Genomic DNA, 16894 nt, shown 5'->3' with positions numbered 1-16894 from the left:
GATTTACTACCCATTTCATTATGCTAATAACAGAAAAATTGAGTCTTTACTTGCTTAAACAAAAATCAAAAATTTCATTATTGTTTTCCTAATCATGATTATAATTTCAGTAGTTACAATTTCAATTACATTGAGAAACTGTGGGACAAAGGGTCCCTTGGTATCCCAAGGGAAACTGGTTCCAGGGCCCCCCCTCCAATGGATACCAAAACCCGTGGATACTAAAGTTCTTCATATAAAAGAGCATAGTATGTGCACATACTCCCATATACTTTAAATAATCTCTAGATTACTTATAATGCCTATTACAATGGAAATGCTTCATCAATAATTTTTATATTGTATTATTTGTATTTTTTATTTTTGCATTGTATTTTTTTTTAATAGTTTCGATCTGCAGCTAGTTAAAACCCTAGATGTGGAACCCATGGATGGGAAGGGCCAACTGTACATGAGACAGGAGTAATCTCTACTCACAGAAGGGAAGGAAGGGAGAAGAAAAAAAAAATAAGAAAAAGGAAAAGAAAAGAAATGGAAAACAGGGGAGGCAAGAAAAAATATAAGAAGAAAGAGAAAATAAAATAGGAAGGAAGGAAAAAGCAGGAAATGGAAGGAGGAAAAGGAAAGGTAAATGAAACTATAGACAAAAAGAAGGGAAACTCGCTAGGATAATAAAAAGATTTTGTTATGTACACTCACTTTCTGAAAGCAGAGCAAATTAGTCTATGTTTATAACCACTCCTTTATGAATGCATGGCTATAAGATCCCCTACATTTAGTGATTTTATGACTTAATAAGTTCCTAAAATAAATTTCCTTCATATTTAAGTATTTTATATTAACGTATTTAGAAAGCAAGTATCATACTATATGCATTTTAAAGGCATGTTAAGATTTTAAATGTCATTTGTAATACTGAAATGCAGTATGAAAATATTTTAAAAAACTGTAGATCATATCTCACTATGCCTTTCACCCTAAATGCATTAGAAACAATTAGCTAGTACTCTTTTATGATTTAACCAATCATAGTGAGTCAAAAGGGCCATCTGACTTTTTTCGAAATGATAAAGCAAAACAAAATCAACAGTAAACTCCTTTAGTTTGACTAATTATCTATGAAGAAATATAATCAGCTGCAAAATCATGCTTAGAAAAACCAATTTTCAAATAATTTGTCCTTCAGACCTAAATATCTGCTTCCAAATAGTAATCAAACATTTCCTTTCCTTGAAGCTGTCATGCTTTTGAAAACCATCCTGCCAAGCACATGGGCGTCATTTTGGATCAAATAGCAGTGTCCTGTATCCTGTTCATTTTCAAGATAAAAACTCTCAGATTAAAAGCTGAAGTGGATTTCAGCAGTGGTTCTTCTGTCACTACTTATCTGTTAGTAAATGAGGCCAGGAGAAAGATAAAAATCTACTCAATACAGAAAGAAAAGCATTGACATTTGGACAACAGGTATATAAAAGGCTGACTTTAAGCAGAAGTTAGAGTCCCTTTAAGGATATCCCAAATTAAAGCACTCCCTGTACAATATGATTAGCTTCACTACACTTTCAAAGCTATCACCAGTTTTGACTAGTCTAAAAAAAAAAACATGGTTTGCTACCTGGTTTAAAAGGCTTAAGGTTTAAAAAATAAGGAAACATAACTAATTTTGTGTGTGTGTGTGTTTGAGATAGCATCTCACTCTACTGTGCCTGGCTAATGTGATCTTCTTTTTTTTCTTTTTTGTAGAGACAGGGTCTCCCTATGTAGGTCAGGCTGGTCTCAAACTCCTGGGCTCAAGTGATCCTCCTACCTTGGCCTCCTAAAGTGCTGGGATTACAAGCATGAGCCACAGCACCCAGCCTAACCTTTAATGCCAACCTCAAAACTGAATTTCAAAATAGGCTACCTATAAAAATACACTGCTTGTAATACTCGGCAATAAATTAAGAAAAACAAAAACTTATAGTTTTTGCTAGTAACTGGTTAGTTTACTCTTAAGAGAGTAAACATATTTGGAGAATTAAATGAGGAACCAGAGATTTTGATGTTTCATTTTAATTAAGGAATCTCAATTGGCAAAATTACATTTTTCAGTTCTGCTCCCACTTGGTCCTCCCCACTGGTTTTATAGGAAAAGCAAATGATATTAACCTAAAAAGGCACTGCCATGTTTATAGAGTAAGTTACACAGTAGTAACTAATCTAAATAAAACTATCAGTGAAAGAACTCAGGTGCTTTATTACTAATATCACCCAAACTCTAATCATTTGTTTCTTACTAATGACAACAAAACGATCCTTAACTTTTAAAAAGTAATTAAAAGTTTAAATACAAGACAACTGGTTAATTCATTTCTCTACTTCTAACTCTAAGAATAAAATTCATAGAAGATAGCAATGATTCACTTGAAGCTAAGACTCCACCAACATTTTTCCTGACACAAATGTTAAATTATATAAAGGAAGCTATCAAAAGTTTTTTTTAAAATAGTCTATAAAACCACCTCCATGATATTGTACTGGAAATGTACAAGCAAAGAGCTGGAGTATTCTCCAAAAGAACATTTAGGTAGGTAGTATCAATTCCCTAAGAAACACATCATGTCAACACGATTGGTTGTACATAGAACCACTTACCACTATCTGACAGTTTTCAGTTTAATCCCTGATGTTTTCCTTATTTCACTAGTACCAAAAAATCTCTCCTCATTATGAGTCCACATATTTTTTTTGAAGTAAGTACAAATATTTCATCTAGTTATCTACAAATCCCTATGCAGACTAATTCCATGTTTATAAAGCTCATTAATCAATTTCAAATAACTATATAAGAATCATAATTCATTCCTAAGGGTGTGTGGTGTTTCAATGCCTATTGTGTGCTTCGTTTTTCAAAGGCATAGAATGAAATTTACTGACAAGCTACAAAGTAGCATTTAATGCAATTTTTAATGTTTATTTTCTGATAAATATTCAAGAGATGGCATATTTACCTCAGCTAAAGTAATAAGAAGTGGATCAAATGAAAGACTTTCAGGAGGACATTCCCACTGTAATCTGTGTTTTACTGAACCATGTACCAATCTAAAATATAAAAGTTAGTGAATGCAACAAGAAAAATATAATTCTATATTAAGCAGGGATAATCTAACATACAGTATAACCATATCAGATTTATTTTGTAACATGTAGGAATACCATAACTTTATAAGATAGTACAAGGACATTTTACAAAGTAATGTCAATAATCCTACACATTCCTAGTCTTACAGCAAAAGTGACCCACATGTGTTAAGGTTACAGTTTTGGTGCTTAAGCATGTTGCTGTCTGTGAATCTTAACACAGATATGCCAGGTGATATCTTTCAGTGATATGACACAATAGGTAATCTACAGAAATGAAAAAATGCAAACAAAACATAGTAATTATTAAAAATGTTTCACAAGGAACATTGTTTTTCAGATATAGATCATGTAACCCTAACACTAATAACCTGAAGGCTAAACCAAGTTTCATCTCTGTTAAAGAGAAGAAAACTGAGGCCAGGAAGGTAAAATGGCCCATTTAGGGTTACAAAGTGGTGGCCCCTGAATTAGGATTTCTGCTTCTTTTAACTGCTTTTTTTTGAGACGAAGTTTCACTCTTGTTGCCCAGGCTCAAGTGTAATGGCGCGATCTTGGCTCACCGCAACCTCCGCCTCCCAGGTTCAAGCAATTCTCCTGCCTAAGCCTCCCCAGTAGCTGGGATTACAGGCATGCACCACCACACCCGGCTAATTTTGTATTTTTTTTTTTTTTTTTAAGTAGAGATGGGGTTCCTCCATGTTGGTCAGGCTGGTCTCGAACTCCTGACCTCAGGTGATCCACCCGCCTTGGCCTCCCAAAGTGCTGGGATTACAGCCTTTACTGAGGAATAACTAACACGCAATAAACTGCATGTATTTACAGTATACAATTTGGTATGTTTTTATGTACGAATACACTCAAGGAACTATCATCACAATCATGACAGTGAACTTAATCCATCAACCTAAATGCTTCTTTGAACTCCTTTGTAATGTTCTTGACTTCTTGACTCCTTTGGGCTTATTTTCATAAGAGTAAGACGTCTCTCTAATATTGTTTTTACATTTTTGCAACAATAAGTTTTGGAGGGGTGGGGAGTAGAGAATTAAGAAACTTTAAATAGGGTTTCAATTCAGAATGTAAATATGAAATAACAATAAACTGAAGAGTATTTCTTGAGCTTATTTTTCACTCCAAATCCGAAAATACCATTAAAAACTAGATTTCTTGAATTTTGGAACAAAAATAAATAAATGTTGTGATTATTTCCATAATCAAAATAAAATTTTCTATCATCTACAACAGGCTAAAACTGGATGAACTCTGAAGAAATAAATGCTTTATAGAAATAAATTGTAAAATGATACATTATCTGTAGTATTTTTTTTTTAAAGTTCTGACATCTGTCTAGAAAGGTGGCAAGAATTATATCCAAAATGAAGCAAAAACAGCCATATGTATTTATTATGAAATATAAACAATTTCATTAAATTGACAACTTTCATTTTACCAACAAGATAGGATTTTTTAATTTGCAACTTGCCCAAGCCTGCAAATGCTTAAATTGATTATTTTAGAAAAAGGGTTCAAGTAAAGTTCTTAAACTGATGGTTTATCCATAGATCCCAATAACTGTATTTTGGAACTAGAATGGTTTTCTTCAACAACATCCAGGAATCTATACCAGTCCAAAAGAAAGTGTGAATAAAGTCATCTTTATTTCAACCTCACTAGTAAATAAAACTTACAATACATTTAAACTAAATATTGTATTCATTTTACTCAATGATTTTGAATAATTTGGTCAGTTATAAATCATATTGATTTTACCTGCAAGGAATACCTCCTTTAGAGTAAATAGCTGCAAATGCAGAAGGCACTCGTGACTGTTCACCAAACTAAAATAAAAAATGAAAATATTACTATCACCTATACTTCTGAGGTCAGAAGCACACAGCCATTTTGCTTTTCAAACCGCCAAGCTGGTATCGAAGCGCACCGTTTCTACTCAGCAACACAGTTGAGAAAAACTGTCAATCCTCTCTCTACTAGAATACCACGACCACACTTGGTACATCTCTTTTTCCCCTAACGATTCAGGATGCTTGAACGCGGCTGAAACCACATATGGAATGATAGTTCTTTCTACCTTCTTCCCCACTGTGACCTTTCAAGGTGAGGACTCTATGGAGAAGGGGTGTTAAGTACAGAAAAAGTATATTTGTTTTTTGCCACCTGCACATCTCCTACTTTGTGCTTCAGCCAAATACAGATGGCGTAGGTAGTCACATTTCTCCAAACTGGCTTTAGGCTTCTATAAAAAACAAAGGATTGCGCTGGGCAGGAGGGAGAGAATTGAAGATGGGGAAGATTCTCACAAATATATGCCTGGATGTATTTTCTTAGATATATAACTTCATAACCTTTCAGTTTTGCTATATATGAATAGCTTGATTTTATACCTACTCTTAAAGATGATTTAAGGGATGGTCAATCACAACAGTTAAACAATTACAGCATAAATAATTTCAATATAATTGATAAGAGACTTACAGAGGATTTAGGAACAAAAAGTAAATATTTTATCACATGGTACTTTTAATATATAATCAAATGAAAAATAGTTGTCTAAATTACAAAATATAAATTGACCTGTTTTAAAGATATAACTAGATAATTTTTTTTAAGTCACACACAGTGGTAGTTTTAAAATGTGCTTAAAAAGTTTAGAATCAGCTCTTTTTTCCTCTGGAAAAGCATGAGTTTTGAGTAAAAGCACATAGGAGAAAATTCGTTCAAATTAAATTACAATAAAAGATTCATATCTGGCCAGGCGCAGTGGCTCAAGCCTGTAATCCCAGCACTTTGGGAGGCTGAGGCGGGTGGATCACAAGGTCAGGAGATCGAGACCATCCTGGCTAACACGGTGAAACCCCATCTCTACTAAAAATACAAAAAACTAGCCAGGATGGTGGCGGGTGCCTGTAGTCCCAGCTACTCGGGAGGCTGAGGCAGGAGAATGGCTTGAATGCAGGAGGCGGAGTTTGCAGTGAACCAAGATTGTGCCACTGCACTCCAGCCTGGCGACGGAGCGAGATTCCGTCTCAAAAAAAAAAAAAGATTCATTTCCAAAATTCAATCCATGTTATGTGTAACAATTCACAAGAGGAATGTTTCACTCATCTAGTTATAATTTCTGCTATAAAAGAAACACAAGTTTTAAAAATTATTTTCAAGTAACAAGCATATCCGATAAGAAAGTTGTTTGAAAAAGTGCTACACATATTGGAGAAAAAATTAAGACAAATTAGTACTATACTATCAACATATTTGACTTCTACCATCTACAAGCAAATGATCTTTCTTTTTGGCCCTTACAGGTCATGAAAATAATCCCTAAAATTTCAATATACCCACAAAGACTAAATTTCTGATTGAAATGCTAAACAATTCCTTTCTTTGCCTTTCAATTTTATTCTAGAGATAATCATGGTTTCATCTTCCATGTTCCACAAAATCAGAATTTTTTATGAATAGATTACTTTTATCGATTTTAACCAAATTTTACCAAGTCTAAAGTGAAAAATGTTATCCCATTCAATTTTTAACAATTTCAGACCATATTTCAACTCTGTATTAATGTTATATACTATACTACACTGAATTAGCGTTTCAAAAAATTTTTTAACTCAAATATTTAAAATATTAATGTGCATAAATCACAATAGTGAATTCACAAAAAATGAACACACCTGTTTATCAACAGAGTTGAAAAATCTGAAAGTTTCCAGCACACTAGATGCCTCCACTGCCTCTCCCAAATCCCTGCCCACCTTTCGCCCCAAAGGTGAACATTATTCTGACTTCCAACTCATTTGTTTTATATTGGTAGCTTTTACACATGCTTTTCTCGGGTCAAATTATTTAACTATTTCCCAAAACTTTCCTCGATTTTTACTAAAACTTAGGACTAAGGTCACTAAATATTATTAATTCAAAAAGTACTTCTTTAAAGAGAGGAAGAAAATTGAAGCGTCACCGTAAACTCCCTCAACTAAACATAAGCAAAGGAAGTGAGAGCAACAAGATTATTAGGGCCTTCTTCAGGTATTCAATTTCCTTGACACTGTAGATTACAGAAAAAAGCAAAGGAACATAGCCGCTCAAACTATTTGTCACTTTGCTTTTATCCAGTCGGACACTCCTTCTGTCTTGGAGAGCTCACTATACCTTTGCTTCCTTAAGTAACTGCCATACCCCTACCTACCACCACAGTCAGTCAGGAGCTTCAGCCACCCTCACAATCCCCTTCGAAGGCTGAAATCACTAACATCTCACCCTACCAAAGTTGGGCATGGGGCAAATAACACCTGGTGTTGTTGCACAGGTGTGTTCACTTCTGAATATTTTTACTGCATAAATCCCATGTTTATTAAATCTCATTAAATTGTTAGGAGAGGGCAAAGGAGGTTAGTACTACAACTAGGATTTCTGGTGGAACTAATTTACAGAACACAGGAAAGGTCAGAGACCTTTATGCAACTATAGAAGCACGAAAAGCATTCTGTGGCAACTGAATACAGTTTATTCATTGATATGGGGAAGTAAAACAACACTGCAAATAAAATCTAAAGCTAAAGTGCAATTTTCTATGCACTACAATGCGATATCCCAAACAGGTTAACTTCTATGTCTCCTTACCTCCATACTCACTCCCACATGTGACTGATTATCTCAGTTCTTCATCATAATAACCACATGCCCTTCTCTCATTATTAGCTCAAAACTAGCAAAGGGACAAAACTCAACACAGCATCCAGCATTGTTCAATACTGTGCGAAATGCCTTTAAAAAATCTACTGAGTTAGGAATAGTTTTGGACCTACCGGATTAATTGTTTTAGGGTTCAGTTTATCACTTGGTCTAGGATGAAGTTTTCTTGCAGACTCTGGAGAACTGGTTGACAATGAGGATTTGCTTCCCTGAACTGCATTCCTGTGTTTTAACTGTGTGCTTGATGATGTCCTTTGATCATAGTTACCTGGAAAAAAACAGAACATCAATAGAAACCAGGTACAAGCAATAAAGTTCACCCTGCATCCATCTGTAGCACAGAAAGTGCCATGAACAAACTTGACCTCTTCACTTAAAAACAAAAGCTCTGTACCTGTTGCTCTGTTTTTCAACTGTGTACCTCCAGAGCCCTCTGATTTCTGCATTGCTTCCCTTTCACTCCTGCAGTTTAAAAAAAAAAAAGTTGATTTCAAAATTTGTTTGGAGGGGCATTTGTTATCAATAAAAAGACAAAACCAGAACAGAGTATACAATACAGTAAAAGACACACAAAAAAGTTGATATGGAGCAAAATACTGGAAAAGACTAATGAGAAAACATGAAATTATGTCAACTTCAATAGTATCAATAACAGCAAAATAATCATCTCCAAGAAATGATGTACAAAAGTCAACTTTTTTTCCATTCAAATTGTCAAAATAAACTGTTAGAAACTCACTTCCAATTCTCTGACCACATTAGAAAACACAGACTAGATTTCTGAAAGGAGTGGTTGGTACATTCCCTGTCATCTTCTCCATCTTCTCTGGCCTCTGTATTTCCAAAGCTCCAAATGTTAACATGTGCACATCAAGCTCTACTTTTCCAGTGACATAATGAACTCTCCTACCCAATGTATCACAAGCTCCTTAAACTGAATGTAACTAAAACTGAGGTTGTCACACTGAAGTTATTATGAACCCCTTGTTAACCCAGGGTACCACCAGTTTTCTGGTCCTCAGACTGAAAAACTTAGAATCACCATTGTCTCCTTTTCCTTCATTTCCTACACTCAATGCTACACGTGATGAGAAAGAAAGAGCTTTGGGCTCAAATATGGGTCTGCATCTCAGTTCTACCAATTATGAAATTTATGAATTTAGGCAGATTATTTAACCTCCCTAAACCTCGACTTCCTGACCTGTTTAAAGAGGGAAATAAAAGCCTGTCAAGGTTTTCTGGAGGTGCAAATGAAATTATCTCTCAAGTTACTCACCCAGGGAATACTGGTTCACTTTTCCCTTACACAGTTGCTTTTTTTCTGCTAATGGAGGACTCTAGTTCATACCCCAAGGTTTCCAGCTAATCCAATCAATTTCTACAATTGTATCTCTAGCAAGAAATACACACACACAAACACACACACACACACACACACACACACACACACTCATATACCCAAGTGCCTACTGGTATTTTTAGGCCAAGCTTCATTCCCAACTTCCATGAAGCCTTTCCTCATCTTGGTTTCTCAAATGTGTATTTCTATGGCATTGATTTCTATCCTGTGTCCTTATTTCTACTTGATTACTCTGTTCCCTCACTTCCACGACAATCTAGTTATTCTATTAGCACACGTCTCATTTTAATGCCTTTAATAATGACTGCCTCTCAAGTATAGTGTAAGATCTTCCCTTAGGACAACACAGGTAAAGTCCTCTTCCACCTCCAAATGACACTTTTTCAAATATTTGATGGCATTAACTCTTAACTCCTTCATTTTTTCTTCTTCAGGATAAACACTGATACTTTTTAAAATGATTCCTCACATGAAATGCTTTTAATCCACTTAACAAGTTAGAAATCCTCAAAAGGAGGACAAAGCTCCATGTTATAAAATTTAGCCAGATATCTCAAACATGATGTACCAGCTTAAAGTCTGATACCATGTAAAGATAACCTAAATGTAAGCTTGCTTCTGCACACTGAATAATTTCAATTTCCTTGATTTAGTACATTGATCTCATTTATCTCATCCCACTACCAGCAGATGACTTACTTCCCAGTATCACACTTCACCTCCATTCCCAGGGCCATTTTCTAATACTACGGTAATTAAAATCTCATTAAAGTTGTCAGATAATAGTCTAAAATAAGCTGAGAGAAGCTTTAAATATGTTAACCTACTATTGTACTTCTGTGATCATTCAACAAGTATTTAATATTGTGCCTGACTTCTGTTTTGAGAAGCTCCTGGAGGGGGAACAACACAAGTTTCTATTGAAAAAAAAAATGCATCAGTTTCCTCAACTCTATAATTGGGCATAATTACAGGAACTACTTTAAGTGTTGATGAAGACTAGTAAGAATATATGTAAAACAACATTTCCATAATGGGAGGCATGCAGTAAGGGCCACATGAGTCTTAGCTATTATTATAATTTTCTTTACAATGGTACAAAGTGTTCTTCAGTATTACTATTACTAATAGTGAAACCACATGTTTTGTCATTTTTAAAAAATCTGGCTTAACATCTTGGGCTACATCAATTTGAAGACCAGCTGAGGTCCAATTTCTCTTGATCATCAATTGTTAACAGCTGCAACAGATAAAAGCGATGCACAGCAAAGACGCGTACCCACAAACATAACAAGGGCACAGGCAGCCATATCAAATTATGATGCACATTTTTCAATACTACCTACCAATTCAGTGGAAGTTTTGGATGGAATTTTATGGCTAAATTTCTATCTTCCTTCACGTCAAAAAGTTGTTCCTGTAACAAACTAATGGGGAGGTGTTGCATTATATTTTGAATGAGTTCAAAAAGTCACCAAAACTCATTTGAAAAAGTTTTAAACATGGTAGAAAATCGAGCTTCTACAGTTTATGAGTATACAGGACAACTTTTATGTACAATATATAATTTTCAGCATTAAACATACAGTAATGCAAACACGTCTACATCCCCTTTCAAAATCCTGTATTAGAGAATTTCCTTCCAAAACAATTGCTTTTTCACTTAAAATTTTTATCCTTTACCTTAACGACAAATTACAGTTGGCTCTCCGTATATGCGGGTTCCACATCTATAGATTTGACCCAACCACGGATACGGAGAGCAGACTGGAGGACTTTGGCATGGGTGGATTTGGGTATCTGAAAGAGACTGGGGGGAGGGAGGGAGTCCTGGAGCCAATTCTCCACGGACACCAAGGGACGACGGGAAATGTAGTCAATTTTTTAAAATAATATCCACCTGGAAGCATGCCACTGACAAGCCTGGAGCATGAGTTGTTTGTGAAAGCAAGCTTTAAAAATCTTATCCTTGGTAACCCTTTCAAGTGGTTTTTCATTAAATAACATGTAGAGGATGGTGTAAAGGGGCAGTGATGGGGAGAAGCGAACCTGTAAGAACTATTTTGTGTTACAAATATTATCAAGGTCACCGCTCATTCTTTTACAAAACAAGATAAACATTCTAATTATAGATATTAGAATCCATAAATCCACTTAACTTCGAACACCTAAACTATGTCACAATATCAGAAAGCAAACAAACCACCCTATGAAGCCCACACATTCCCCTTAAAGCTTCCTTGGTTGCTACAGGTCATCTATCTACAAGGGACTGCCGGTATCTGTGTCAATGGTAGGAAAGTGTACTTTCTATCATTGTTTGGGCAGCTGATATAGCCTATTTCTTTCCCTGTATGTACTTTCTCCCGTACTCAGCTTTAAGACCACTGAACTAAAACAATTCTCAGTCAGCAGAGCCCTGCTTTCTAATCCAGGTCTAGAAAGTTCCAAACGTGTAAGTAAGAGCCCCACTAAAGAAACCATGTTCCATTTGTAAAGCTCTGTCAAATTCTAAAAGACCCAGAGCCCAATAGTCACTTATCCCAGTCCCTTTTTTACCAGAAAGTAAATTCAAAGGGCCAGTATTAGGGTCGCACAATCTGCTTAGGGGTCTTAGAATCTATTTTCCACCTTCCCAGCCACCCCTCCTACACTCACTTCTAGATACTTAAAGACCAGTCCAGAGCCAGGATGCTATCAAAGTCAGCAAAAGAGGAAGACACAGAAAAAAAATAAAGAAAAAACAGAGATTTTTTAAAGGGGCCGAGGGAGGAGTTTACCAGTTTCAATTAAGGTTAACGAAGGCTACTCTCGACTGACCCTCTACCCCAGGAAAGGAGGGGTACACTCCAAGCGCTCACGATCTCAAGGGTCCTTAGCAACGGGGTCCAGCGGCCCTAGCAACAGATCAGGAAGCAAGCCGGCTTGGCAGAGAGCGCAGACAGGACACCTGTACCCGCGGTTCACGGCTCCGGGGACCCGTTCCTACCGCGCCTCTCTCCCGCCGCGATCCGCACACCAGCTGCCCCCCACCGGGGGGGGCTTATGACCGGCACTCGGTCGGCCAACAACCGCGGCTACCGCCACCGAGCGCCTGCGTTTGGGGAAATGAGGCTCCGCGCGGCCCGCCCCTGAACCTGGTCGCGCCGCGCAATGACGTCAGACGCACGCTGCGTCGTCTAAACCAATGGTAAGAGGTCGCGGAGGCGCCCCAGAAGAGGGTTGCCCAGGCAACCAGGCGCCAGGAGTTCAGGGGGCAGCTCACGCACTGCAGGCGCTGTCTCTGGCGACAAAGGGGCACGTGGTGGAGGATGTTTTTCGAATAAGAGGTCCGGAGAGCAGAGGGACGATGACGGGTTCCCAGTCGCCTGCGCCCTAGCCTCTCTTCAGTCCATGTGCTTAACTCCTAAACGCTTTTCTCGCACACTTAATACTCATTGTTCCTCAGCTATCTTACCCTCAATACTCGGAGAACTGAAGACTGTGAACTCCTCCCCCCGAGTCTTCAGGGGTGAGAGCCGAAGCCATCTGCATGCCCAGCTGTGGGATTTTCTTGTAGTTTCCTGTTCTATCTGGCTAAATCATAAGCCTAGCTGTGGAAATTCGTTTCCTGTCGTATTTTATGAATCTCATATGCTATTGCATTCTTCACAGTATATCCGCATTTAAATAGTAAAAAGCACGATTTTGTGCTCTACATTATTTTTAATAGTAAAAATATTTAATAGTGAAAAGCACGATTTTATGCTCCACATCATAACAAAACTGATGCTGCAGGAAAATGCATATTCCCTTGTATTGCATTCCACCAGCAACAATTTGGGTTGTCATAGTTAAGTCCAAGCCCTTTGGACCTGTCCACTGCACTCCTCTTTAGCATCCTCTACTGTTGCCAACCCAAAGCCCTAACTTTTTGCTTAGGTAACACTAAATTGGCATTGTCTGAGCACTCGAGGCTGTGTAATCCTTCTGTGCTCCTGTAGCTCCATCCTTGCTACTTGACCAGCACCCCAGAAGCATCTTCATTAGATTGTGAGTTTCCTCAGGATAAGGATTTTAACTTTGCCCTTTTTATTTCTCCAGCTTCAAGCATAATGCAGTGGGTATTCAACTAATGTCTTCTGAATGAATAAAATGAATTAATAAATTCTGTCTATGTCTAATTTCTCTAATGTTCTGTGAACCTTGCATACAAATCTAAGTTTTAAAATTTATTATAATGTATTTACCTATCTTTCTCACTAGACTGAAATTGTCTTTATTGCTTTTCTATCCCCAATGCCTAGCGCAATGCATGCTTAACTAACGTTTTTAAAAGGAAAAAGAAATTTTTAAAAAAAAAAATCTTATATCCTGTATCTTCAGCTACTTTTACTTTATAATCTCTCATCTCCAGCTTCCTCAAGACTTATTATATTTTCCTTACTCCTAGCATCTCCAGTGTCAGACTCAGTAGAGCTCCTAGTTCGTGACCTTTTAACCCCTCCTCCCTGGACTATAAGAATGATTTGTATTCAGTATCGCAGAGGAATGACAAGCATATGTGTTCTGGAGTTAAGCTATCTAAAACTCACCACCCCTTATCAGCTATGAGTCCTTGTGGATGACGACTCCTACAAGCCTCAATTTCCTCTTCATTATTGGGTTATTGCGAGACTTAAATTTAAGAGGACAATTGAATACCTGACACATAGGAAGTACTCAATAAGTATTAGCTAGTGCAATTATTCAGGTGAAAGCAAATTAAGACTAACGTGGAGGACATCGTAAGTGGCAAAAGTCTCATGCTATGTGTTGGTGTATGAACCATGGACGATGACACGGATTTTTCAGATCTTTATAATAACAATTAGTATAAGCTTCTCCTAATCACAGTTAAAACAGCCTCTTCTAAACTTTCTGTCATCATTTTAGAAAATGAACAGAAAACATGCTCCTTGGCATTGCAACTCTATCAGGATATTATGCAATAAGTGGTGGGTGCTTTCTTGAATACACTGGTTTGACAAGCCTGTGAGGCATCCAGGGGGAGCTAACTAGCATGCTGTTGGATCTGCTCATCTAGAGGGCAGGAAAGAGAACTGGGCATAGCTATGGATTTTTGAGCCATCAGCATATGTAGACGCTGAGTTGGGCGATAGGAGTAATACCTTCTAGGAAAGCTCACAATATGTGAGAAACAGAGCACTGATTGTGGACTTTTGTCTTCTATTCAGGTTTTAAGGTTTAATTTTCTATTTAAGAGAGAATGGGATGAGGGAAAAAAGGTGACCTATTTGCCTAGCAATATAGTAAATGATTCTGAAAAGACAGAATATGCCATATATTTTCTGTTTGCTCTCATATAGGTACACTCTTCCCTTTGTCCTGTTATTTGCTCTGGGATGCTGATCAGCATAAACTATATCACCCAGGCTCCAGTGCCCTCTGGTTTCTGATTGGGTTTGGCTACTGAAGAACACTAATAGGAGATTAGAGAATTAGAGGAGAGTGAAGTCAGAGTATTCATTCTCCTGCTCCTATCCTTAGGGGGTTCCCTAAAGCTGGTCATACCCATAAGTGAAGATCACATCTTTCTGCTATAGTCTGATTGTTTCTGTTCCTCCAAAATTCATAGATTGAAATTTTAACTCCCAAGGTGATGGTATTTGGAGGTGGGGCTTTTGGGTGGCGATGAAGTCATAGGGTTGGAACACTCGTGAATGGAATTAGTGCCCTAATAATAGAGGCCTGAGAGAGAACACTCACTCCTTCCACTATGTGAGGACACAGTGAAACAATTTCATCTGTGAACCAGAAAGTAGTCCCTTACCAGACACTGAATCTGTTGATACTTCGATGTGGACTTTCCAGCCTCCAGAACCATGAGAAATCAATTTCTGTTGTTTATAAGCTACTCAATGTACGGTATTTCACTATAGCAGCCCAAATAGACTAAAAAACTTTCTAAATGGCAAACTTCAGTTCTAGGCACAAAATCTCAGAGGCTACTATCTCTAGGTTACTGCACTGTCTGTGTGGTACCCTGTACCTTTATAAATAAAATTTCTTCAAATTGCCCTATTTTTGTTACTCCATATTATATAACCTTATGAGTTAGGTAATAAATCTAACCAAAGTAAACCACTCAGGACGATTTTTTTTCTCATTGTGCTGGTTCTCATTGACTTGTGAAAAAATTATTCATTATTTATTTACTTACATTTAAGTCACCAAGCATTTTTAAGAAAATATTGTCTTAATTCTTGTAAAGAAAATCTCTGCCTTTTTGTACAAATTACAGACAAAGCAATCATTCCCAATGATTATTCCCAAGTCCTATCATTGAGAAATGTGATACAAGAAATTTGTACAATTTGACAAAGCACACTTTGTCAGGAAATGTTAGACATCATCATTATAAAGTCATTGAGTGTCCGCTTGCACATGGAACAAATTAAGCAGTGATAATGGCTCCTCAGGTGAAAGCAAATGAAATCAACATGAGTGAGCATATAAGGTAGCATTGTCCAATAGAAAAGTGATGCAAGTCACATAATACAATTTTAAATTGCCTAGTAGGCATATTTTTTAAAGGTGGAAAGAATCATGTGAAAGTAATTTTAGTGGTATATTTTTATTAACCCAATATGTCCAAAATATTATCACTTCAACTTGGAATAAATATAAACACTATTAATGTGATATTTTACATTCTTGTTATTTGTGCTAAGTCTTCAAAAGTTGGTGTGTATTTTACATGTATAGCACATTTAAATCCATACTAGCCACATTTCAAATATTCAATAACCACAGATGGCTAGTGGCTACTGTATTGGACAGTACAGAAAGCTATGGCCACTGACAGTTGGGCAAACATAGAATGAAGTCAATAAATGTGTCAAATAGCTAGAGAGTACATACTGTTTGTACAACAAACTATTAGATGTTGGAGAATCAATCCAAATGTAAAGGTCATGAATTGGGTATGAACCTCAGACTACAGAGTCAGTGCAATTAACAACTTCCTTTATGGTTCATAGTAGTATTCAATTTCTTTTACAAATGTCTTTACCCTTTCTCTCCTTGGAATTGTGTTGAGAGGATGAGGCTTGGAGGAGTGTGGCATCTGGTCCTCTGTTGTCATCTGCTAGGATATACGTACTTTGGTCTTTCTGGTCCTCAGTCATTTATCCTTCATTCTTGTAGATTGCTCATGTGTTTTTCATTCCAGGTTCTCATTGAGAGCTAATTCCAATCTCCTCTTAACTATCCAGGAGGTAATCTATTCTTCCAATCTGAAGCCTAAGAAATTCAGCTGTTGGTTTCTACCTTGTAGAAACCATGGGAACCTATGAGGTTGCCGTAGAGTCTTTTGTCTAGACACACTACAAGGCCATTTCTTCTCATCCTATACCCTAGGTTCAGGGGTATCTAGGGGCTTATTAGCTCTGGGGTATTGCCCTGGGGGGAGGATGGAGGATGGGAAGGACAGAGCATACTGTCTCTTTGCTCTCAGATCTAGACCTTGACTCTGACTGATGACATATTCTTCTAGCTCTTCCAAATAATGGCTGGTCTTGACCTTAACTTTTGAAAGTCCAAAGTCAAGAATTCAACTTTTAGCATGAGAACTTTTATGATGACAACTCCTCCCTGAGGCAGTAAGCATAAAATAGTTCAGCTACAGTCTGCATGGAAAAAATGTCATGGGGTAGC

At 37.1% G+C, this 16894-nt stretch overlaps 1 protein-coding gene across 43 annotated transcripts in view, besides 1 other annotated feature; it reads right to left on the bottom strand.

The window, feature by feature from the left end:
- PACRGL (parkin coregulated like) overlaps positions 1-16482 on the bottom strand; it is a 71092-nt gene extending 54610 nt beyond the window's left edge. For 6 of the 43 annotated variants that reach the window (XR_925302.3, XR_925303.4, XR_925306.3 and 3 more), the window contains exons 1-7: positions 11977-12306; positions 10880-11006; positions 10543-10623; positions 8231-8298; positions 7950-8104; positions 4894-4961; positions 2991-3081 (exon numbers count right to left, since the gene is read on the bottom strand). Coding sequence is in view for 28 of the 43 variants with exons in the window: in XM_011513786.4 (XP_011512088.1) it covers positions 2991-3081; positions 4894-4961; positions 7950-8104; positions 8231-8298; positions 10543-10623; positions 10880-10926 (510 nt within the window). In the remaining 15 variants the exon portion in view is untranslated. Of the gene's footprint in view, positions 1-2990; positions 3082-4893; positions 4962-7949; positions 8105-8230; positions 8299-10542; positions 10624-10879; positions 11007-11096; positions 11246-11976; positions 12307-16250 lie in introns of those variants that run through there. The other 37 variants (XR_007096369.1, XR_007096370.1, XM_011513804.2 and 34 more) reach the window with 16 other exon arrangements.
- Positions 12074-12193: an enhancer, noted in NCBI's record as "active region_21365". NCBI's record gives its function as "activates an Ori minimal core promoter by ATAC-STARR-seq in GM12878 lymphoblastoid cells {active_cell/tissue: GM12878}" and the evidence as "EXISTENCE:reporter gene assay evidence [ECO:0000049][PMID:35858748]".
- Positions 16483-16894: the final 412 nt, after the last annotated feature.

Source organism: Homo sapiens, chromosome 4 (assembly GCF_000001405.40).
Source record: "Homo sapiens chromosome 4, GRCh38.p14 Primary Assembly".
Taxonomy (NCBI): domain Eukaryota; kingdom Metazoa; phylum Chordata; class Mammalia; order Primates; family Hominidae; genus Homo; species Homo sapiens.
Note: the sequence above shows the minus strand (reverse complement) of the source record. Positions and strands in the feature narration are given on the sequence as shown.